This window comes from Homo sapiens, chromosome 10 (genome assembly GCF_000001405.40).
Source record: "Homo sapiens chromosome 10, GRCh38.p14 Primary Assembly".
Classification (NCBI taxonomy): Eukaryota; Metazoa; Chordata; class Mammalia; order Primates; family Hominidae; genus Homo; species Homo sapiens.
Genome location: NC_000010.11, coordinates 120,506,303 through 120,524,080, shown reverse-complemented (window position 1 = coordinate 120,524,080; position 17,778 = coordinate 120,506,303). Strand labels below are relative to the sequence as shown.

The 17,778-nt window shown below is 44.2% G+C and overlaps 1 protein-coding gene across 15 annotated transcripts in view; it reads right to left on the bottom strand.

Annotated features, from left to right (window-relative positions):
* The window catches only part of PLPP4 (phospholipid phosphatase 4), a 135,112-nt gene that overhangs the window by 67,985 nt on the left and 49,349 nt on the right, over positions 1 to 17,778 (bottom strand). For 5 of the 15 annotated variants that reach the window (XM_011539444.4, NM_001030059.3, XM_005269592.3 and 2 more), the window contains 3 exons: positions 10,080 to 10,170; positions 5,185 to 5,248; positions 2,986 to 3,110 (listed from right to left, as the gene is read on the bottom strand). The exons of 4 other annotated variants lie outside the window; for them this stretch is intronic. In XM_011539444.4, coding sequence (XP_011537746.1) covers positions 2,986 to 3,110; positions 5,185 to 5,248; positions 10,080 to 10,170 — 280 coding nt within the window. Of the gene's footprint in view, positions 1 to 2,985; positions 3,111 to 3,334; positions 3,427 to 5,184; positions 5,249 to 10,079; positions 10,171 to 17,778 lie in introns of those variants that run through there. 6 more of the 15 variants (XM_017015822.2, XM_017015821.3, XM_024447862.2 and 3 more) reach the window with 6 other exon arrangements.

Sequence of the window (17,778 nt, the reverse complement as noted above, 5' to 3'; positions counted from 1 at the left end):
AAGCAAAGGATATAATTGCCTCTGTCAAAAAGCTTGTCTAGCACAGATCAGATGTCAGCCACCATTTGACAAGGCAGCCGAAAGCCAGCCATGTCGGAAAATGCTTCCTGCTGGTTGGAGGGGAGGGTGCGCATCTGAAATCAACATCTTTTTTGGGGTCCAGCTTCTAACCTCTGAGGTCCAGTAGTCTGACAGCTTGAGATATTCACATGACAGCTATTTCGTTCCCAAGTTCAAATGCAACAGTAGACAGTAAATTGTGCTACAGTCCCCTACCAACCATTCTGGAAGCCCGTATTAAGGTATTCCTTAGAATTTCACTTCTTAGGTGCTTTTAATTTCTGAAGCCCCTTAAGATTCAGCACCAAGTCTTTGGGAGGACAGAAAGTGACAGGAGGGAGAAGGGAGGAATGAAAGAAGGAAGAGAAGAAAAGGAGAAGAGAACAAAGGGAGAAAAAATCTAAGAGAACTTGAGTGACCCTACCAGGAGACAGATGGAGAGCAGATGGGAGCTGATCCCAGGTGAATACTATTCCAGGTACCTCTAAACAATGCCAGCATGGGACTCCCTGGAAACAAGGAGACAAAAAATCAATACAGAAGGAATTCCTCCAGCTGGTAACTACAAGGCCTCCAAAACAGGTGCTCACTTAAAATGGGACTGCATAGAGGAAAAAAACATGTTTAGAGAGGAAGCAACTCCAAACGGGTGTTCTGCCGTAAGTCACAGGAATGGCTAGAGCCTACAAGAATTTTGAGCTTTTTTTTTTTTCTTTTCTTGAGATGGAGTCTCACTCTGTTGCCAGGCTGGAGTACACTGGCACAATCTTAGGTCACTGTAACCTCTGACCCCCTGGTTCAAGCTGTTTTCCTGCCTCAGCCTCCTGAGTAGCTGGGATTACAGGCATGCGCCACCAAGTCCAGCTAATTTTTTTGTGTGTGTTTTTAGTAGAGGTGGGGTTTCACCATGTTGGCCAGGATGGTCTTCATCTCCTGACCTCGTGATCCACCCGCCTTGGGCTCCCAAAGTGCTGGGATTACAGGCGTGAGCCACTGCACCTGGCCGATCCTTTCTTTTATAAGGACACCTGCCACTGGGCTTAGGGCTCACCCTAAATCCAGAATGATCTCATCTCCAGATCTGAACTTAATTGCATCTGCCAAGATCCTTTTACTTTTCCTTTTTCTTTTTTGGCATGTAAAACAGTGTTCATTCTTTCAAATAAAAATACACATAGCGAAAGGATTACGACAGTCAAACAAGTTACCATATCCATCTCATCACATGGTTACTTTATTTTTTTGTGATGACAGCACCTGAAATCTACTCTCTTAGCAAATTTCTAGTCTACGATGTCATATTATTATCAACCAAGACACTTTTTCCAAATAAGGTTCACACTCACACGTTCCAGGGGCTGGGACTTAAACGTATCTGTTTGGAGGCAACTACTCAACTCACCACCGTTTCCAACAAACTAGAGAAGAAAATTTGTTATTTACTTAAATAAACATGGACTGTAAATGTTTTGTTGTATTTGATCATTGAAAGTCCCAAGACAGCAGGAATTCCTCCAGCTGGTACCTACAGCTATTCCTGTCAGAGCTGGTGTCCTTAGACAAGTTACCAAGCCTGCCTGATCCTCAGTGCCCTTATGTGTAAAACTGGGACAATCCCCCACCTGGTAGGTTGTTGTGCAAGTTGACAGTGATTCATTTAGAGTGTCTGCCCCCAGCTAATGTCTCGTTGACAGGCCCTATTCTTCAACGGCTCTGAGCAACATGTTCAACAGACAGTCCCCAGGAAACAGCGTTCAGTTATTTCTTGATTCAGCCATTAGTAGGATGTGTCTCGGGTATTTAGGGAAAAAAGAAACTAAAATAGCAGGCTTGCTAAAGGTAAATAATAATCAGACTCGTGGGAGAATTAAGGACTTGGCATCATGAGAAGAGCCTGTCCTATTCAAGATGGTCACCTGTGACCATAGTTCTCCAATTATCCCAGGAATCATCAACTTAAATACACCATCTGTCACTACCTGGGCACTCCCCAGGACACAAGCTGCATCTTATTTATCTTTGCATCCCCCATGCAATATGAACTGATGAATGGATGATGGCACAAGCCAGAATACTCAGGAAACTTCAGCTCTGATAATCAATAATCATGTAGATAACTACTGTTTATTGAAAGTCACAATACTAAGCGCTTTACATATACTGCATGGATTAAATAAGATAATTTATGTTGCCATTTTGGCATAGCTGCTGCTCCAGAAATGTGAGCGATCATCACCACTTATTTTAATCCTCATTCCAACCAATAATGGAGGCATTCTTATTCCCATGTTACACAGCAGGAACTGAGGCACAGGGAGGTGAAGTCACAGAGCTAATACCTGGCAGAGCCAGGGTTTGTTAGACTTCAGAGACCTGTCTCCTTTTCAGCTACATTGCACGGCTTCTGATTCACAGTATTAAGTCTTTGTTTTAAGGTGTTCACACATCTATAGTCAGACTATAAACTGGAGGCATGGGGGAAAGTATATGTATATACATGTAACATATGTATGTATATGTATATATGTATACATATGTGCTATATATTTGTGTACACACACACGCAACACCTGAATTGAAGAAATAAACTAGAGAGAACAATGACCTAAACAATGGAGGCTCCCAGGGAGCGTAGAGAATTCCCTTGTCCTAAATCGTACTGTGCAGGGGTAAAGTATCACATGTTATGCTCTGCCAAGCTCATGAAAGCAACACATGCAATGTTTTATAAGCTCCAGAGCCTCATCCTGGGCATATTACTTCCTGTTGAATAATCTTGTTTCTAAGTCAAACGCCGTAAAGTGAAGAAAAATGAACTGCGCTTAACATTCCTGTACCAGTGCTTTTCTCTGCACCTAAATTCCCAAAGACAGTGAGCAGGAAACATGACTGGGGGCATTAAGAGAATCCCAGCCATGAACTTACAGGAGGAATGGATGCTGGGGAAGCTTTTGCGGCCCTCGGACACCAGATCGGGGTCACCTGTGCAATGCATTTCCGAGTTCATCACTCCATCTGGAAAGCAGCGGTAAAAGAAATCGGGGCGAGGTCTACAAAAGACACCATGGACATTTTCAATATAAAATGCTGCCATCACAAATGACCCCAAGCTGACCCCCCCAACTCCCCACTGCCCCCAGCTCTTTCCTCAGCCCCCTTGGCTGTCAACACTGGAGCTCCTCACAGAATACTCTAGACACAGCCGTTTGGGAAAAAGCTCAGGTTTTGGTGTCAGAGAAATCTGAGTTGGCGCTCCCATGTACCACTTACTCACTTTATGACCTTGGGAAGGTCAGTTGGTCTCCCCCAGCTTCAGTTTCCACATCTGTAGAAGGGGGAAATCAATACTGACCCAAAGCTGAGGTCCTGTGGATAGAGTGACATGACTTACAGGAGGCACCTAAGCAGTGTCCTCTGGCCCAAGTTCCTTGTTTGACAGGTGTGAAAAGGAAGGCTTCATGCCATCTGTGGACTAGAAGTTACTTCCTGTCTTGATCTACCGCTCTATTGTTGGATATTGGCATGCATTGCTCAAATGCCAATCCATAGGTCTCAGCCTGAAGAGAACGATAAATAAGTAATCCTATTAATCTACCACTCTACCGCTTGATCTATTTCAGAGGTTGCCTCTGGGATCCAAGACTCCAGGCTCCTCGTGTCCGTATATCCTGAATTTGGGTGGCCACTTGCCCTTCCTGAAATGGCAGGCCTCACCTGGCCTCACTGAGAGACCTTGAACACTCAGCTCCATGATGCAGAAGACACAGTGCCCCAGGTTGGCCTCTCTGGTCTAGGACATGGGAAAGAGATCTCTAGAGGCACATAGGGGTGGCCCTGGGCCTGAAGTCGAGCCTCCTGCAGCAATCACAGCTGCAGGAAGTCCTGAGTGCTTACTAGGCTTCAGACACAGTGCTAAGCTCCACACACCTGCTGTGCCATATAATCCTTAGGAGAACCCTGAGGCAGAGCCTGGAGCTGTCTGTATTTTACAGGTGCAAAAATGAAGGCTCTTCATTGCTCAAGGTCACACACATCCCGTAAGTGGCAAGGACAAGCTTTGAACACCAGCGCCTGGATCTTCATGCTGACACATTTCACCCCATGCTTTACTGCCTCACTTGAATGAGGGTCCTCACACAGGTGGGTGATGGCCTATCACCTCACATTCATACTCAACTAATATTCGCTGAGCACCTACCACGGGTGAAGTTTAGCTAATGTTGGAAACATAGCGCTTGCTTTCTGAGCACTCCAGGTCACAGTCCTGGTCACTGGTCCTTCAGCTCTGCAACTCCAGTAGGGCCTAAGCAGTCTACCAGAACAGCTGGGGTACTGTCTCTCTGGTACTCAGCCACTGTTTCTCCAAGTATGGATGTCCACCTAATGCACCAGAACCTCAGAGGGGTGAGGCCTGAGAGTAAGCACTGGTCAGGGCACACAAAGTTAAGGGAACACAGCAGCAACAGGCCATGTACTGCCTGATTTTTATCTATCTCCTGCCCCCTCAGTCCCTGGCCTGCATCCAGTAGATAAAATAAATCCTAACGTTCTGAGAGGGGATCTAGTGTGTCCCAGGCCAACAGCCAGCTAGAGTTAGTTAGGTCTTGAATTCAGATGTTTTGACTGCTCATGTCTGTAGAGACCAGCTCTTCACCAGAGCAGTCAGAAGAGAAGGAAAGATAAATGGAAAACAGAAATCATTTCTCAGGGGCATTAAGAGAAATGTGCCATAAGCCAAGGCTCAAATGCCAATCCATATGTCTCATCCTGAAGAGAATGACAGGTAAGTAATCCTACTTATTAGAGGCCAAAACTGACAAGTGAGTGGGTGTCAGGGGAGGCCCTGGGCTGGCAGGGGAAGAATCTGAAAATGCCAGCAGTAAGCTTTGTCCCACAAGAAAGTGCAGTCAGTGGGCACTTCCTTGCTAGTGATCTGCTTTCTAAAATAGTGAGTTTGTAATTCAAAGGAAAGATCTGTGCTAAGGATGGAAATCTCAGAAGGACAACAATTTAAGGGAGAACTAGATGAGCTCAAATCTGTCCCATCCAGTGTCCTCTGGCCCAGCTTCCTATATAGATGACCTTGATAGTCTAAGTCACCATTTCATTCTTCTTGGAACTTACCTTCCCACTATTAATTTAATAGTGTTTGTGCAGACTCCATTCAAAGCAAGAGCCAAGGACACCGCTACAAAACAAAACCAACAGACAGAAAAATAGCAAGCTGGCTCTTAAATCAAAATCATCATCATCATTATCATCATCATCACTGTTACATTATAATACTATTTAATGACCAGAGAAATATGAACGAATACTTTGAAAACAGAGATACGTTTGGGTTGCTAGAGAGCAAAATATAATTATGCCAGGACTTTGGAGAGTGACTCATAAAATTCTAGGCCCCTGTGACATGAAATTTATCTCTCCTCCTTGACTGAAATTTTCACAATCACAGAGGAGCTTATCTATCATTTTCTGGCCTGATATGAACAGATTTAATACCACAGCATGTAGAATTTCTTTTACTGGTAACAAGAAACATAACTTTTTTTATTTCCTCCTGGCAACCTTCTCAGACATAATTCTAATCAGAGCAGCTGCTGGAATCCTACTGCAGAAAAGGACATTCCCACTCGGCAATTATCTCATTATTGACCCATCACCGGCCGACAGCTGTCCATTTGTTATCAAACAAATCACTGTTTCTGCCAAGGTGCAGAGTCCAAAAGCCTCACTGGGTTTGGAGAAGGTCTGCCCGGGCGGTGCTTTTTGCCATCTAAAACAGCAAGAACTTCTGGGATACATTATTTGACCATACAGAGCACAGGGACTTTCTCCAAACAGTCTGGGAAGACTTTGCCAGATGCAGCACAGATTGTCCCGAAGGCGGCAGGTAACATGAGTCACAGAGCTTTCACTGCAAAATGTTGTACCTCTCTCCTGTGGTTTATCGAGAGTGCGTAAAAGGCAGAGTCATCACCATCAATGTGATAGAAGGTCAAATGCCTCACAGAAGCAGTACAAACCTATTGATGCCCCATCCACTGCTTTGTTGAATAATAAAGCATGTGAGCTACCATTTCCCTTTGGCAAATATTAACTGTTCAACACTAGCTGAGATTTATATAAGAATATAGCAGTGAATGGGGGCATTTTCGGGAAGGAGCTGCCTAGGGCAATTCATGGCCCATCGAGAGAGACAAACGTGTTGTTCTATGAGCAGAAAGTACTGTGGAATGGCCAACATGGTCACTAAGAGTACAAGCCACAGAGATGGGAACACAACCCACCTGCTTTTAACAAGTTATCCGAAGCAGAAAGAATGGGAGGGACACATTCAAATGAACATCTTTGTCAAAGGGAAACAAATCACCTAAGTGTGAGATGGGGGCAACTGGCCATATCTGAGTGTGGCAGAAAGGAGGGACAGGCCACAGACTTGGAGGGCAGAGTGTGAATCAGCCGCACAGCACTGCCATTAAAACACTGAGCATGCAATGGGGGTGCAGAAATTGGAACTGAATATGAGGGAACTTGGAAAGATCCACTGATTGCATTCTGAACACACAGATCCTTCCTTCCTCAAATGCCAGCTTCCCTTCTCTCTGGCAAGCTCAGAGCACTGTGGAGAGGCCTGTCTCCAAAAGGCGAGAGCAAATTCTCTGGGATATCTTTGCCATATTCTCTCCACAAACCCTGATAATTAACAGGTTGTGAGATTGCCGCAAAATTACTGTGGTCTTTTCTCTGTTAGGGCTGGCCTGCCACGCTCACGGCTGTGTTTTCCCAGTGGGGCTGAACTCATTATCATCCTGGTCCTAGCATGGCCTCTCTGGGAACAAGCATCCCTAGCCAATTCCCTATCGCCCCATGTAAATCTTGGTGAACTTCATACACAGCCACATGGATCACTTCCCCAGCCTCTGAGCCTGGTGGGCTTATCGCAGCACAGAGCAGTTCTTTAAAAAGTCTGAAATAGCTGAGCTGGAAAATGTATGGATATGATATAACCACCTACAGTTGGCAACTTCCCTGTCTAATCCAAACACCTGAAGGAAACAGAAAGGTAGGAAGCTGGTGATGATATTTAACATGGAGGTCATTTCAGCATTCTAGAAGGAAACCAAACTGCTTAATATTTTTACTGGAATAGCACAACCCTCCGGGGATCAATGCAGGAGCCCCTCATTGATACCAGAGAAGGCTGTGCTGGGATCAGACCCATGAAAGGCTGGACAAACAGGAAAATAAATGGCCCCTATCAGGAATACTTGTTCATTAGCAATAACCCAGTGGGTCTGATTCATAAGGGCTGTTCTCTTTTTACAGCATCCCACAGCACTGTGGGTTTCAGAGAAGAGTCAAAAAGACAAACCATACTGTGTCTGATAAAAAATCTCAAAGCAACATGTCCCGTGAGTCGGCTTGTAAGCAGCCTGTACTCAGGACGCTACTGGTTATAAGCATTCCAGGAGATTAGAGGGCTTTTGTTGTTACTTTTGTTGTAGGAAATTCAGCACTATCGTGCTTTTATAAGAGGGTTCTCTATTATACAGACCTGACTGTTCTGCAGCCTGAATTCCTAAAAGCCCAATGCTGCATGGGGCAAACCTCACTCCTCTCATCCAATGCCAGATGCACAAACATGGCCACTGTTTACCTGGAGATGAGGGCAGCACTTGGGATCCAGGTTTGGAAGCCTGGGTTAAAGTCTGCTGAAGACATCTGAGTAAAGAAGCATGCTAAGAACTAAACCTCCTGGTCGATAGAGTCCTGAATTCCAGACAACACTGGAAAATCTACACCCTGTTTTCTGTCCTTGGCTTTTAAGGATCACCCACTCCCACCCGCTACTTCCGAGGCTTCCTAAAAATAGTGATTGAAAAAAAAACCTCTACACACAATGGGAGGCTGTTCATCATTTTTATATGGCAGGCTCTCATTTATTTAGGCAAACAGAACATCCAATAATTCCACCTTCTCTGTTAACGTATAGGAGACAGAGTATGATGTTCAATTTTGAAATGTCACCCTAAGGGAGATTTAGCTGAGAATGAAAAGTCTGGAGAAGGCAACTGTGAGCTACTTACTGCTGTGACAGCAGCCCCACTCCAAAAGCCAGCCGTCAGTGAGAACCATAACCATGAAAGACAGTTCTCACCCACAGTCACTTATCTTGAGACTCCATGCCAGGGGAGCCACTAGAATAAAGAATGAACTAAAGGGATTTCCAAATGAACTGAGGGGGCTCCCAACAGCACTTTTTGGAGACTATGGTGATATCCATCCAAACACTGCCCGGCCACTCAAGCCATGTGTGGAGGCACACCTACCTGAATCCTTGGAGAATGTGACCTTTTTCCACCTCAGCTGAGGAGACTGAAACCTGTGACCAAAAGTCCAAGCCACACAAGGGCAGCCTGCGGTACACACCTGACCTGAGGGAGGGCATCGACAGGCTGGCCAGGGACTCATGGCTTTTGTGTCCAGGCTGGAGAAATGAGCTGAGCCAGAGACTCTGTCTAGGAAGTCTGGACCAAGAAACACAGTGAAGCTTGGTGGGTGGGCACCGAAGTTGAACAGGCAGACAGATTTGTGGCAGAAATCACCACCACTGCAAGCCCAAGCCTCACATAAACCAGACATGGGGCAGCAGAAACAAAGTTGAGGCAGAAGAATCAGGCTGGGAGTGTGAGGAGAAGAGGCAAGGCACATTGCAGTGGTCATGAGCCAAGAGGGAGGTCTCCCCTCCTGATGGCCCAGCTCCCCATTCCAGTCCCTGTGAGGTGCCTCTGAACCTTTCCCCCTTTTTCTTGGATGTCTGTGAGATTGCTTATCAGAGCCCTGTAATTAAACCCCTAATTTATTTGAGCTAATTTGAGAGGGATTCTGTTCGTTTCAAGTAGATAAGGCCTAACAGGAGCCTGGTTATATAGGAAGCGTTCTCTGTGCTGCTTTAGGGCAGGAGCTGCTGCTTGTCCCACACTCCCTAGATGCAGCTCTCACACTCACTCCCTTACCATGGAAAAGGGAGGATCATATTTTGCTACATTTTCATTTCCCCAAAGCCCAATAATTAACAAACAAACATACCCTTAAGTGAAGGCTCTCATTTTCCAGACTTACTAGCCCATTGAATGGTAAGTCCATATAACACACCAAAAACAAAATTTGGGCTGAGGATTTGGGTAACTTTTAGGTGACGTGTCAAAAAAAGAAAAAATCAACCTGATTTGGTTTTTCTCACGGTCAAAAAGCTGAAAACCTGGCTACAGGTTAGTTTATTTTGTTTGCTAAACAAGCCAAGTCGTTTTGGCTATCTCTTAATGCTGTCATTTACTCAGGATTTGATTATCATGAAGACCAGAAAAACGCATTTAATCCTGAAATGTCAAACTCTTGTCCCATGCAGACATGGCTCGTCTTGGGAAGACTTTATAACAATGATGTTATAATCAATGACAAAGATCATAGCACTCTTCACATAATAATGAACACTTAACTACCAAAATATCTTCAAACTTAAGATGAGTTATAGAGCTTGTTTGTAATATCTATTTTATTTTACTCCCGCATTTGCCTATTATTGCTTCTAGCCAACAGTGTTTGGTCGAGGAGTCTGTGGTTGATTGCTGAATTGCCCATAATGTGGGTCTATTAGCCAAAAATGTGAGAGTGGACAGTCAGAGGCAACAAAGTTTTAGATTTACTTTGCCTTACTGCCAAGAGCTACCCGGAGTCTGCGCCTGAGCAGCACAGCTCTCTGGTGTGTACAGGGTGTTACGAGCATTCAGCACAACGGACAGCGACAGTGGGCGGTGTCTGAACATCCTTCATTTAGGACCGCACGTTGGCTCTTCTTTGGGCTTAAAGTTTATCTTTATCTTATCTTGTTCCTCCCCAGCTTAATTTGACCAAAAGAAAAAAATCAGTTGGGTGTAACTGAGATTTCTTAAATGTGATCATCTAATTAAGGTCAGCCCCATTCCCTAAAGCAGGAACTGTGAATACTCTACCTAAGAAGGCTTCCTTAATTTCAGTCTTGTCTGTTCGCCGGATAATTTTCACCACACAAATAACAGCCAGGGGTGTGAGGAAAGAAATTGCCTGGAAGAAATAACAAACAATCCCTTATGAGGACATCAGTTTGCTATCAGAAGGGCTGATTGATAATTAGTTCCCGTTAGTTTCATTTAGACTCCCTGGTTGAATAATCTTACTGAACTCCTGACCTCAAACAAACAAAAAAAAAAGGATGATGTATGTCTGTGTTTAGAGACTACACAGACTTTAAAAATGGAAGATCTGATTGTAGGTTATAATTGATTTGTAATTGCTGAGAGCCATGTTTAAAGCAGTGACTTTTTAAATGGAAAAGAATAGTCTATAATTACGATGAATCATGTCTGCCAGTAATTCCCCTCATGCTCTCCTCTGTGGAAGGGTGAAGAACCCTTGGCCTCCAACTCCTATCTCTCTGGAAACACGAGTGCATTTGAGACTCACTTAGAGTCAATCAATTCATTTTCTTTTGGTGTTCTTTTGTTGAATATTTATCTCTTCTGCAAAGCAGAGTTTAGTCCGTTTGTTTAAAGACTCTACTCTTCCTTCCTCTATACCCTTTCCTCCACATAGATGCTCAACTCAGACTTAATGAGTTAAACTGGTGGGATTCAGATGCAGCCAACACTCATTACAGAACCTACTGTGAGGTGGAAACCATGGTACTGGTGGTACCATCAAGTCCAGGAGCCTCTTACATCCTCATGATAACTCTGTGACTGCCTCCTCCAGGCTTGAGGACTAGGTGATGTGCCTGGGAACATACAACTGGAGAGGGGCGAGGCTAGGATTTGGGGACAAGGTTTCCATTCCCATATTGAGTCTTTATTCCAGCTTCCGTAATTAGTAAATTGTTTTTAAACCTTCCACCAACCATATAAAAGGCATTTTTTGTTGCTTCTTCATGACTATAACATCTCAGGATAACAATATCAGAAGAGACTGAACATCTCACAAATCCAGAATTGGCCTAGCAGTCAGTGGTGGGAGGGCTGGGGTGTAACTGTTGACGAATAGTGTTCATAATTCTGGAAATCTCTCTCTCTGCTCTAGTAAGACATCACTTTTTGGAGAGGGGTTTCCTGATGGAACTAAGGCATGGCTGGAATATGCTCTTCTTTTTTAAATGTATTTTTTATTTTTTTAGATAGAGTCTCACTCTGTCACCAGGCTGGAGTGCAGTGGAGTGATCTCCGCTCACTGCAACCTCCACCTCCCGGGTTCAAGCAATTCTCCTGCCTCAGCCTCCTGAGTAGCTGGGACTACAGGTGCACACCACCACGCCCAGCTAATTTTTGTATTTTTAGCAGAGATGGGGTCTCACCATGTTGGCCAAGAGCTCTTCTTTTATAAAAACAGAATTCAACCAAATGAATGCAGGCTTAGATGCTCCACACCCTTACTACAACCAGACTGCTAGAGCTCAAATTATCTCGGGGACTCCTCTTTGGGAACTGTCTTCAGAGGCCATTTGTATGAGACATGAAAAAAGCCCTCTCCTTACCTGCTACCATTTATTTCTGACCAGAAGTGGTAGTAACCAGTTTGATGATTCAGCTGTGGCCCTGAATGACTTGGATTGTTTAAAAGTCAAATAAGCAAGTCTTGCCACCATGGAGGGTATTCAGGTGCTAAAGGGCTGATGCACTAGAGGAGATTCAGAACTGCTACAGAGAAAACAGAGGATTCCCCTGGGGGCTATTCAGAAGGGCAACACTCCTGAGTTAAGAGGTCCAGTAAGTCTGTGCCATAAATTATTGGGCAGCTCTCACACCTAAATAACTACACGGCTTGTTGAAGTACTGATTTCCTCAAACATGCTTATACAGCTGGTCTGGAAATGTACATTTTGTTTTTTTTTTGAGACGGAGTCTCACTCTGTCACCCAGGCTGGAGTGCAGTGGTGCGATCTCGGCTCACTGCAAGCTCTGCCTCCTGGGTTCACGCCATTCTCCTGCCTCAGCCTCCCAAATAGCTGGGACTACAGGCGCCCGCCACCACGCCCGGCTAAGTTTTTGTACTTTTTTAGTAGAGATGGGGTTTCACCGTGTTAGCCAGGATGGTCTCTATCTCCTGACCTCATGATCCGCCACCTCGGCCTCCCAAAGTGCTGGGATTACAGGTGTGAGCCACCGCACCTGGCCCGGAAATGTACATTTTTAACAATATCTCAAATGGTACTGATGCTGATGATTGAGAATTATGCCTTAGACTTTTGTCTCATGCATTTAGTGCTTAAAGAACAAGAATTGAAGCACCACTTACTAAAGTCCAATGTTATGGTCAAGGTCAAAGAAGTCCTTGTTTCTCCAAATCCAAACATGAAGGCTACCAGCTTACCTTCCTGTTTTCTGTCCCTTTAAGCACTGCATACAGACCAGGCAATGTGCTCCCAAATAGGAGAAAGCAACTCACTAAATAGTGGACGACCCAGTAATGATACTACCAAGTCAGTGTTTATATAGGAGAACAACATGGTTTTGAAGGAAACATTTCAAGGCAATCCCAGCTGGTATAATCTAAGGTTAGGCAACAATGAAACCCCAGAAAAAAGTATGAGTTGGGATGACTTTCCCAATGAGGCTTCCAAAGGAAATTCCAGAGCAGAAAGTCACTGCCCACATAGGAGATGTGGGTGCCAGGTGGGAGGCGCTCAGGATCAAGGCCAGGTGTGCAGGCTGAAGAATTCATTAGAGCTGCCCAATGACTCCAAGCTCATGGCCTGATGGCCCAGTGGTCTCCTTTAGAACTGCGCCCTGCCTCAACTTGCCTCTTCCTAATTGGACCCTCACCCCCACTTCCCCAACAAGGCTGGACTTAATTTAACTCATGCTGCAAATTTCCTAGGTAGATGCATATTGGTATCTTTTCTAGGACCACTATCAACTGCTCTTGAGCCAATGCTAAGCACCTAGGAGGGCCCAAGGCTCCCCATATCAAGGGCTTCCCAGGCAAGGGAATGCAGCCTTCAAAATGCCATGGTTCCCACCCCAGAGTTGCTGCAGCAGAGGTGTCTGTGTGATTGCAAGATGTGGCTTGTTTCCTCCTCTCATCCTAAAAGCAATGGGCCCTAGTGTCTCATTCTTCTCCTGGAAATGTATCTGCCATATCCTTGGGCAGCACAGTCCGTGAATCAGGATGGATAGAGACATAGTTACATGTATCATTCACCCCCTTGTACACAAACATTTTTAAATGAAAGTTGGAATTAAGAGGTGAACTTCAGAAGCCAACACATTAGGAAAACGACTTCCTCCTAGGGCAAAACACCTCTGAACTGGGTAAAGGAGGAATGAGGCGAGTAAGCACCCCACCACCTCACTTTCACTCAGCAAAGCAGACTGAATTGAAACCAGTGCATAAGCATTCCACTCTTTCGACAAAGGCCATTGGTAGCTGCAGTTCTGCTGCCCGAGCCAGGGGAGCAGATGAAGATGTACAGAGGGACGTAAGGTGGGGATGCTCCCTTGTACCTCCACACATGGGCAGAGGTGGAGGAAAAACATGAGCAAGCAAAGTCTCCCTTGGTATTGTTTTCTCTTCTGTTAATGTTTCCATGGCTAATTTTAAAAGAATCAAATCCTAGGAAATCCTAGGATGAGCCCAGGGTAGGAAGATGGGGAGTGGTCAGAGCTTATTAACTGAGACCTGAGAGAAAACAAAGAATTCCAGCCGAACACTGCTGCAGGATTCAGAGAACATATTGAACCCTTCTTGGACTTGAGTTCTGCTCACTTGTTATGAGTATGGGGCTGCTGAATGTACATACCTAGGTTACAATAACAAAGGCTAACGTGTACTGAGAACTTACTAAGGACTATAGTCTATTCTAGGCACCCCATGCAAATTAACTCATTCACTTCTCACAGCAATCCTACATGGAAAAGGCTTCTTACTTAATGCATAGGAAAATAAAGCACAGAGAGGTTCAGCAACCTGCTGGAAGTCACACAACTAATCAAGTGGTAAAATGAGGAGTTGCACCCAGACCATCTAAATTAGGCTCTGCACTTTTGACCACAATGTTAGAGCAGTTCCTACCCTAGAAAGTAAACATTAAATAAAACATAGTGCATGCTTTTTTTCCAAGTTAAAAAAGAAAGGTAAGGAGGCTTGTTTCCAGGTCATAGATAAGTCATAGAAATTTCAGTGACAGCTGTCATATCTTAAGCACCTACTACGTGTTATGGACTTTCCTCACACTTTCCAATCTTCTAACTATTCTGCTATGGAAAATATTATTCCCATTGTACAAATAACCAAACTAAAACTCAGAGAGATGAGTGAACACACAAATGCACACAGCTAGTAGGACCAAGACTCCCAGACTGGGTTGCCATGCTCCTGGGTTGGAGTCCTGAATCTCGGTGATTCCCTTAGCCCAAAAGCTTTAGTTTACAGATGGGGAAACTGAGGCTGGCAGAGATTATATATTGAACACCATCTTTAAAGTTACTAATTGTACTGCACAGTGCCCACATAAAGAGATAGTGTATGTATCATTAAGCAGGATCTGGAATGTGGCTAGTTTTGTATGTATTCCACAGGCTGGGAAGCCAGAGCTCTGTACAAAAAAAAATGTGCGGAATGGACTCAGATTGAGGAGAGGTGAGTTCAGCCCTAGCTCCTGACACTTATCCATTCTTTGTCCTTGAGCAAATCATGTAACCTCTTTGATTCTCAGTTTCCTTATCTATAAATGGGTATGACGATAATAATATCCATGGCAAGTATTATTGGCAGGATTTCAATTCACTAATAGTTATGGAATGCTGATTAGGTGCCACACACTAAGTGAAGTGCCAAAGGTCTGTCACCCCCATCTGATGCTCTCTAGAGCTTGATGGGACATGTTCTTAAAGACACCTTTCACAGATAAAGAAAGTAAGGTGCTAAGAGGGGAGGTGATCTTCCAAATTTGCATAGCTAGTGAATGGCAAAGCTGGGAGTTGACCCCTTGTAGGCCACTGTGGAGCCCAAACCAACTGCCCACCAACAGGATCCAACAGAGAGCTAGCATCCGGCAAATGCTGGTTGTTGACTAGTATTTCATTATTTTCTAGAAAAGACTGTTAAAAGGGTATCAAGATCTTGTCACCAGACACATAGGATTGATGCATTTTCAATTCAAGCCCACCTGCACCCTTAGATCTAAGTAGTGTGCACCTTTGAGTAGCAGGAGGAGGTTGGGGAGAGAAGAGGGAGCCTAACTCTCCCAGGCACCCTGACCATACCCTAAACGACAAACTAAGTTATGGAGCATCCACCCATGAATCAACACAGGAAGGGGCGTCAATCCCTGGCCAGTGCTGCACCCAGAAAGTGAGTCATCCCCACCTGCTGATGTAAGGCACCATGCACCACACTGCCGGGGCGCTTCTGGGAAACCACAAAATGTGAAGCAGTGTGTTTGATGGGGGAGGGCATGAGGATGCCAAGGACTTCTAACAACCAGAAGGGATCGAAGCCAGAGCAGCCTCGATGCGAGGGTGTTAGCCAGAGAGGAGCTTGTCACTGGGGTTTATTCACAACAGACAAAACAAAACAATGGGCCCAAAGTGCCTTCATTTCTGGCTTTTGACAGAAAGGTGTGCTGCAGGGTGATTATAAAGACAACTTTAAGACACTCAGACACTTGGAAAAGGCCCTGCTCTGGGTAAACAATTACATCCCATCACAGATAAAAGAGCTGTCTAAGACTCTTAAAAAGAGCCTAAAAATTAAATTGTCTATCATGATCCAGCCTTGTCTCTTTTTCTTCCTTCTTCCTCCCCAAAATGACTTTATTTCTGCCTTCCTTAGAAGCATCCTATCCCAGAATAGAAAACCCTGGTATCAAATCAACACAGTATCTATCAGTAATAGTCTATGAGAATGTATCTTCTGGACATATCACGGTCGAAGCAAAAAGAGAAGAGGGCAAAGAATAGGCCTTGGGTGGATTTCTTTTGGAAGCCAAGGAAAAAATTTGCAAAACCTATCATTCCTTAAACTTCTTACTGAGTCTTACCTATTCCTCAAGGCTTTTTAGTGATGCTGAACTGTTCACCTTGTGTTCATGTCTGTGCCCCTCCCTAGACTAGAAACCATATCTTATTCATCTTTCCTCATGGCAAGTGTTTCATAACCATCCACTGAATTAGCTTGTAATTAACCAATCTAAAGCTACCCCCAGTCTAGCTCTATCCCTGCCCCCTTTCTTAGCCCTTACGCATAGATACTCCAAACAAACTCCTATTGACAGGACCCACACAGGCTCACTCTCCATTTCTCTGCCTTTACACGCCTCTCCACCTAACCAATCACCAAGGAAGCATCACAGCGGAGTGCCTCCAAGTGAGAGTTTGCACTCACAGCCAGTGCTCAGATCCTGGTTCAGCCACTGACAGTTGTATAATCTCGGACAAGCTGTATAATTTCCTCAGTTTTGTTTTCTCCACTGACATGAGATTAACAAAAGTGCTGACCTCAAAGGATTCTGAAGATTAACTGAGATGTTCTTTATAAAGTGATAAGCACAGCCCCTGAATTCAAGAAATGTTTACTGTTGTTGATGATGATGATGATAATGATGATGATGATGATGATGATGATAATGATGATGATGATGAAGAACTTCCCTAGAAGTTTACCTGAGCCTCTCCTCTGGCCCTTTTCAGATTCCATTTTGTATTAGAGTACCATCCTAATGTACCAGGGATCCTGGAAGGTCCCTGAGGGTACCTCCCAAGTCTCATTGGACTTCTCATCCCCTATAGCCCCTATGGTTTTCTTTACCCACAGCAGGCTCCCTGAAAATGTCCCCTGAATGTACAAAGACACAACTACTATAGACAACAAAAAGTATACCAAAGAGCAACAACTAATACCGATTAAGTTGTCCTACACAAAAAGTAGGTTTTAAAAAATATTCTGATAAACCTCTCACACTCAGCAGGAAACCGGTACCTCTTTTGAATGAGGAAACAGCCTTCCATAAAGGCCTTGGGCATATCCCAGAAATGTTAAGCAAGACTTTTGAGTGCATCTGAAAAGAATTCTCAGCCAGTCTCTCTGGTCAACAGGAACACTGGGTTGTCAAGGGAAACAAGCTCTTGGAATCAAACAGTTCCAACTACACCCAACTTTCAGAGTGACAGACATCACCTGAGCTAATGGTGCCACAGACAGCGAAAGTGCAAGTTAGGAGGCTTCCAGTGACATTATTACCATTTACTCTGCACTTAATCCCCTAGCCATCATTCTGTTAATTTTCTTGTTACATTTGCCGAATTGGCTCCTCTAAATTGCACACAGATGACTCTAGAAGCATTCATTATCCAATAAAAGAAAATCCAAGTCAATGCCAGCTACCTTTAAAAAACACCTTGGTAAGAAAGAAAGTTCATCTTTAGATTAAAACATTCCAACCAAAATTAAAGGAGACCCCAAGAATTTTTTTATGTAGTAAATGAAAAAATGTGAGCTTTCAAAGAAAATCAAGCCATTTTATACATCAGTGAAAATGGATGTTCTATTACCAATTCTTCTACTAACATCTGAAGGTTTTAAAAGACCAAAATAATATAATGCCTTATATTAAATTCTTAAAACCCAGGAGAACAAATCTTTTTTATGGGGTGACAAAATATTTTTCATCTTTGTGTTATAGGT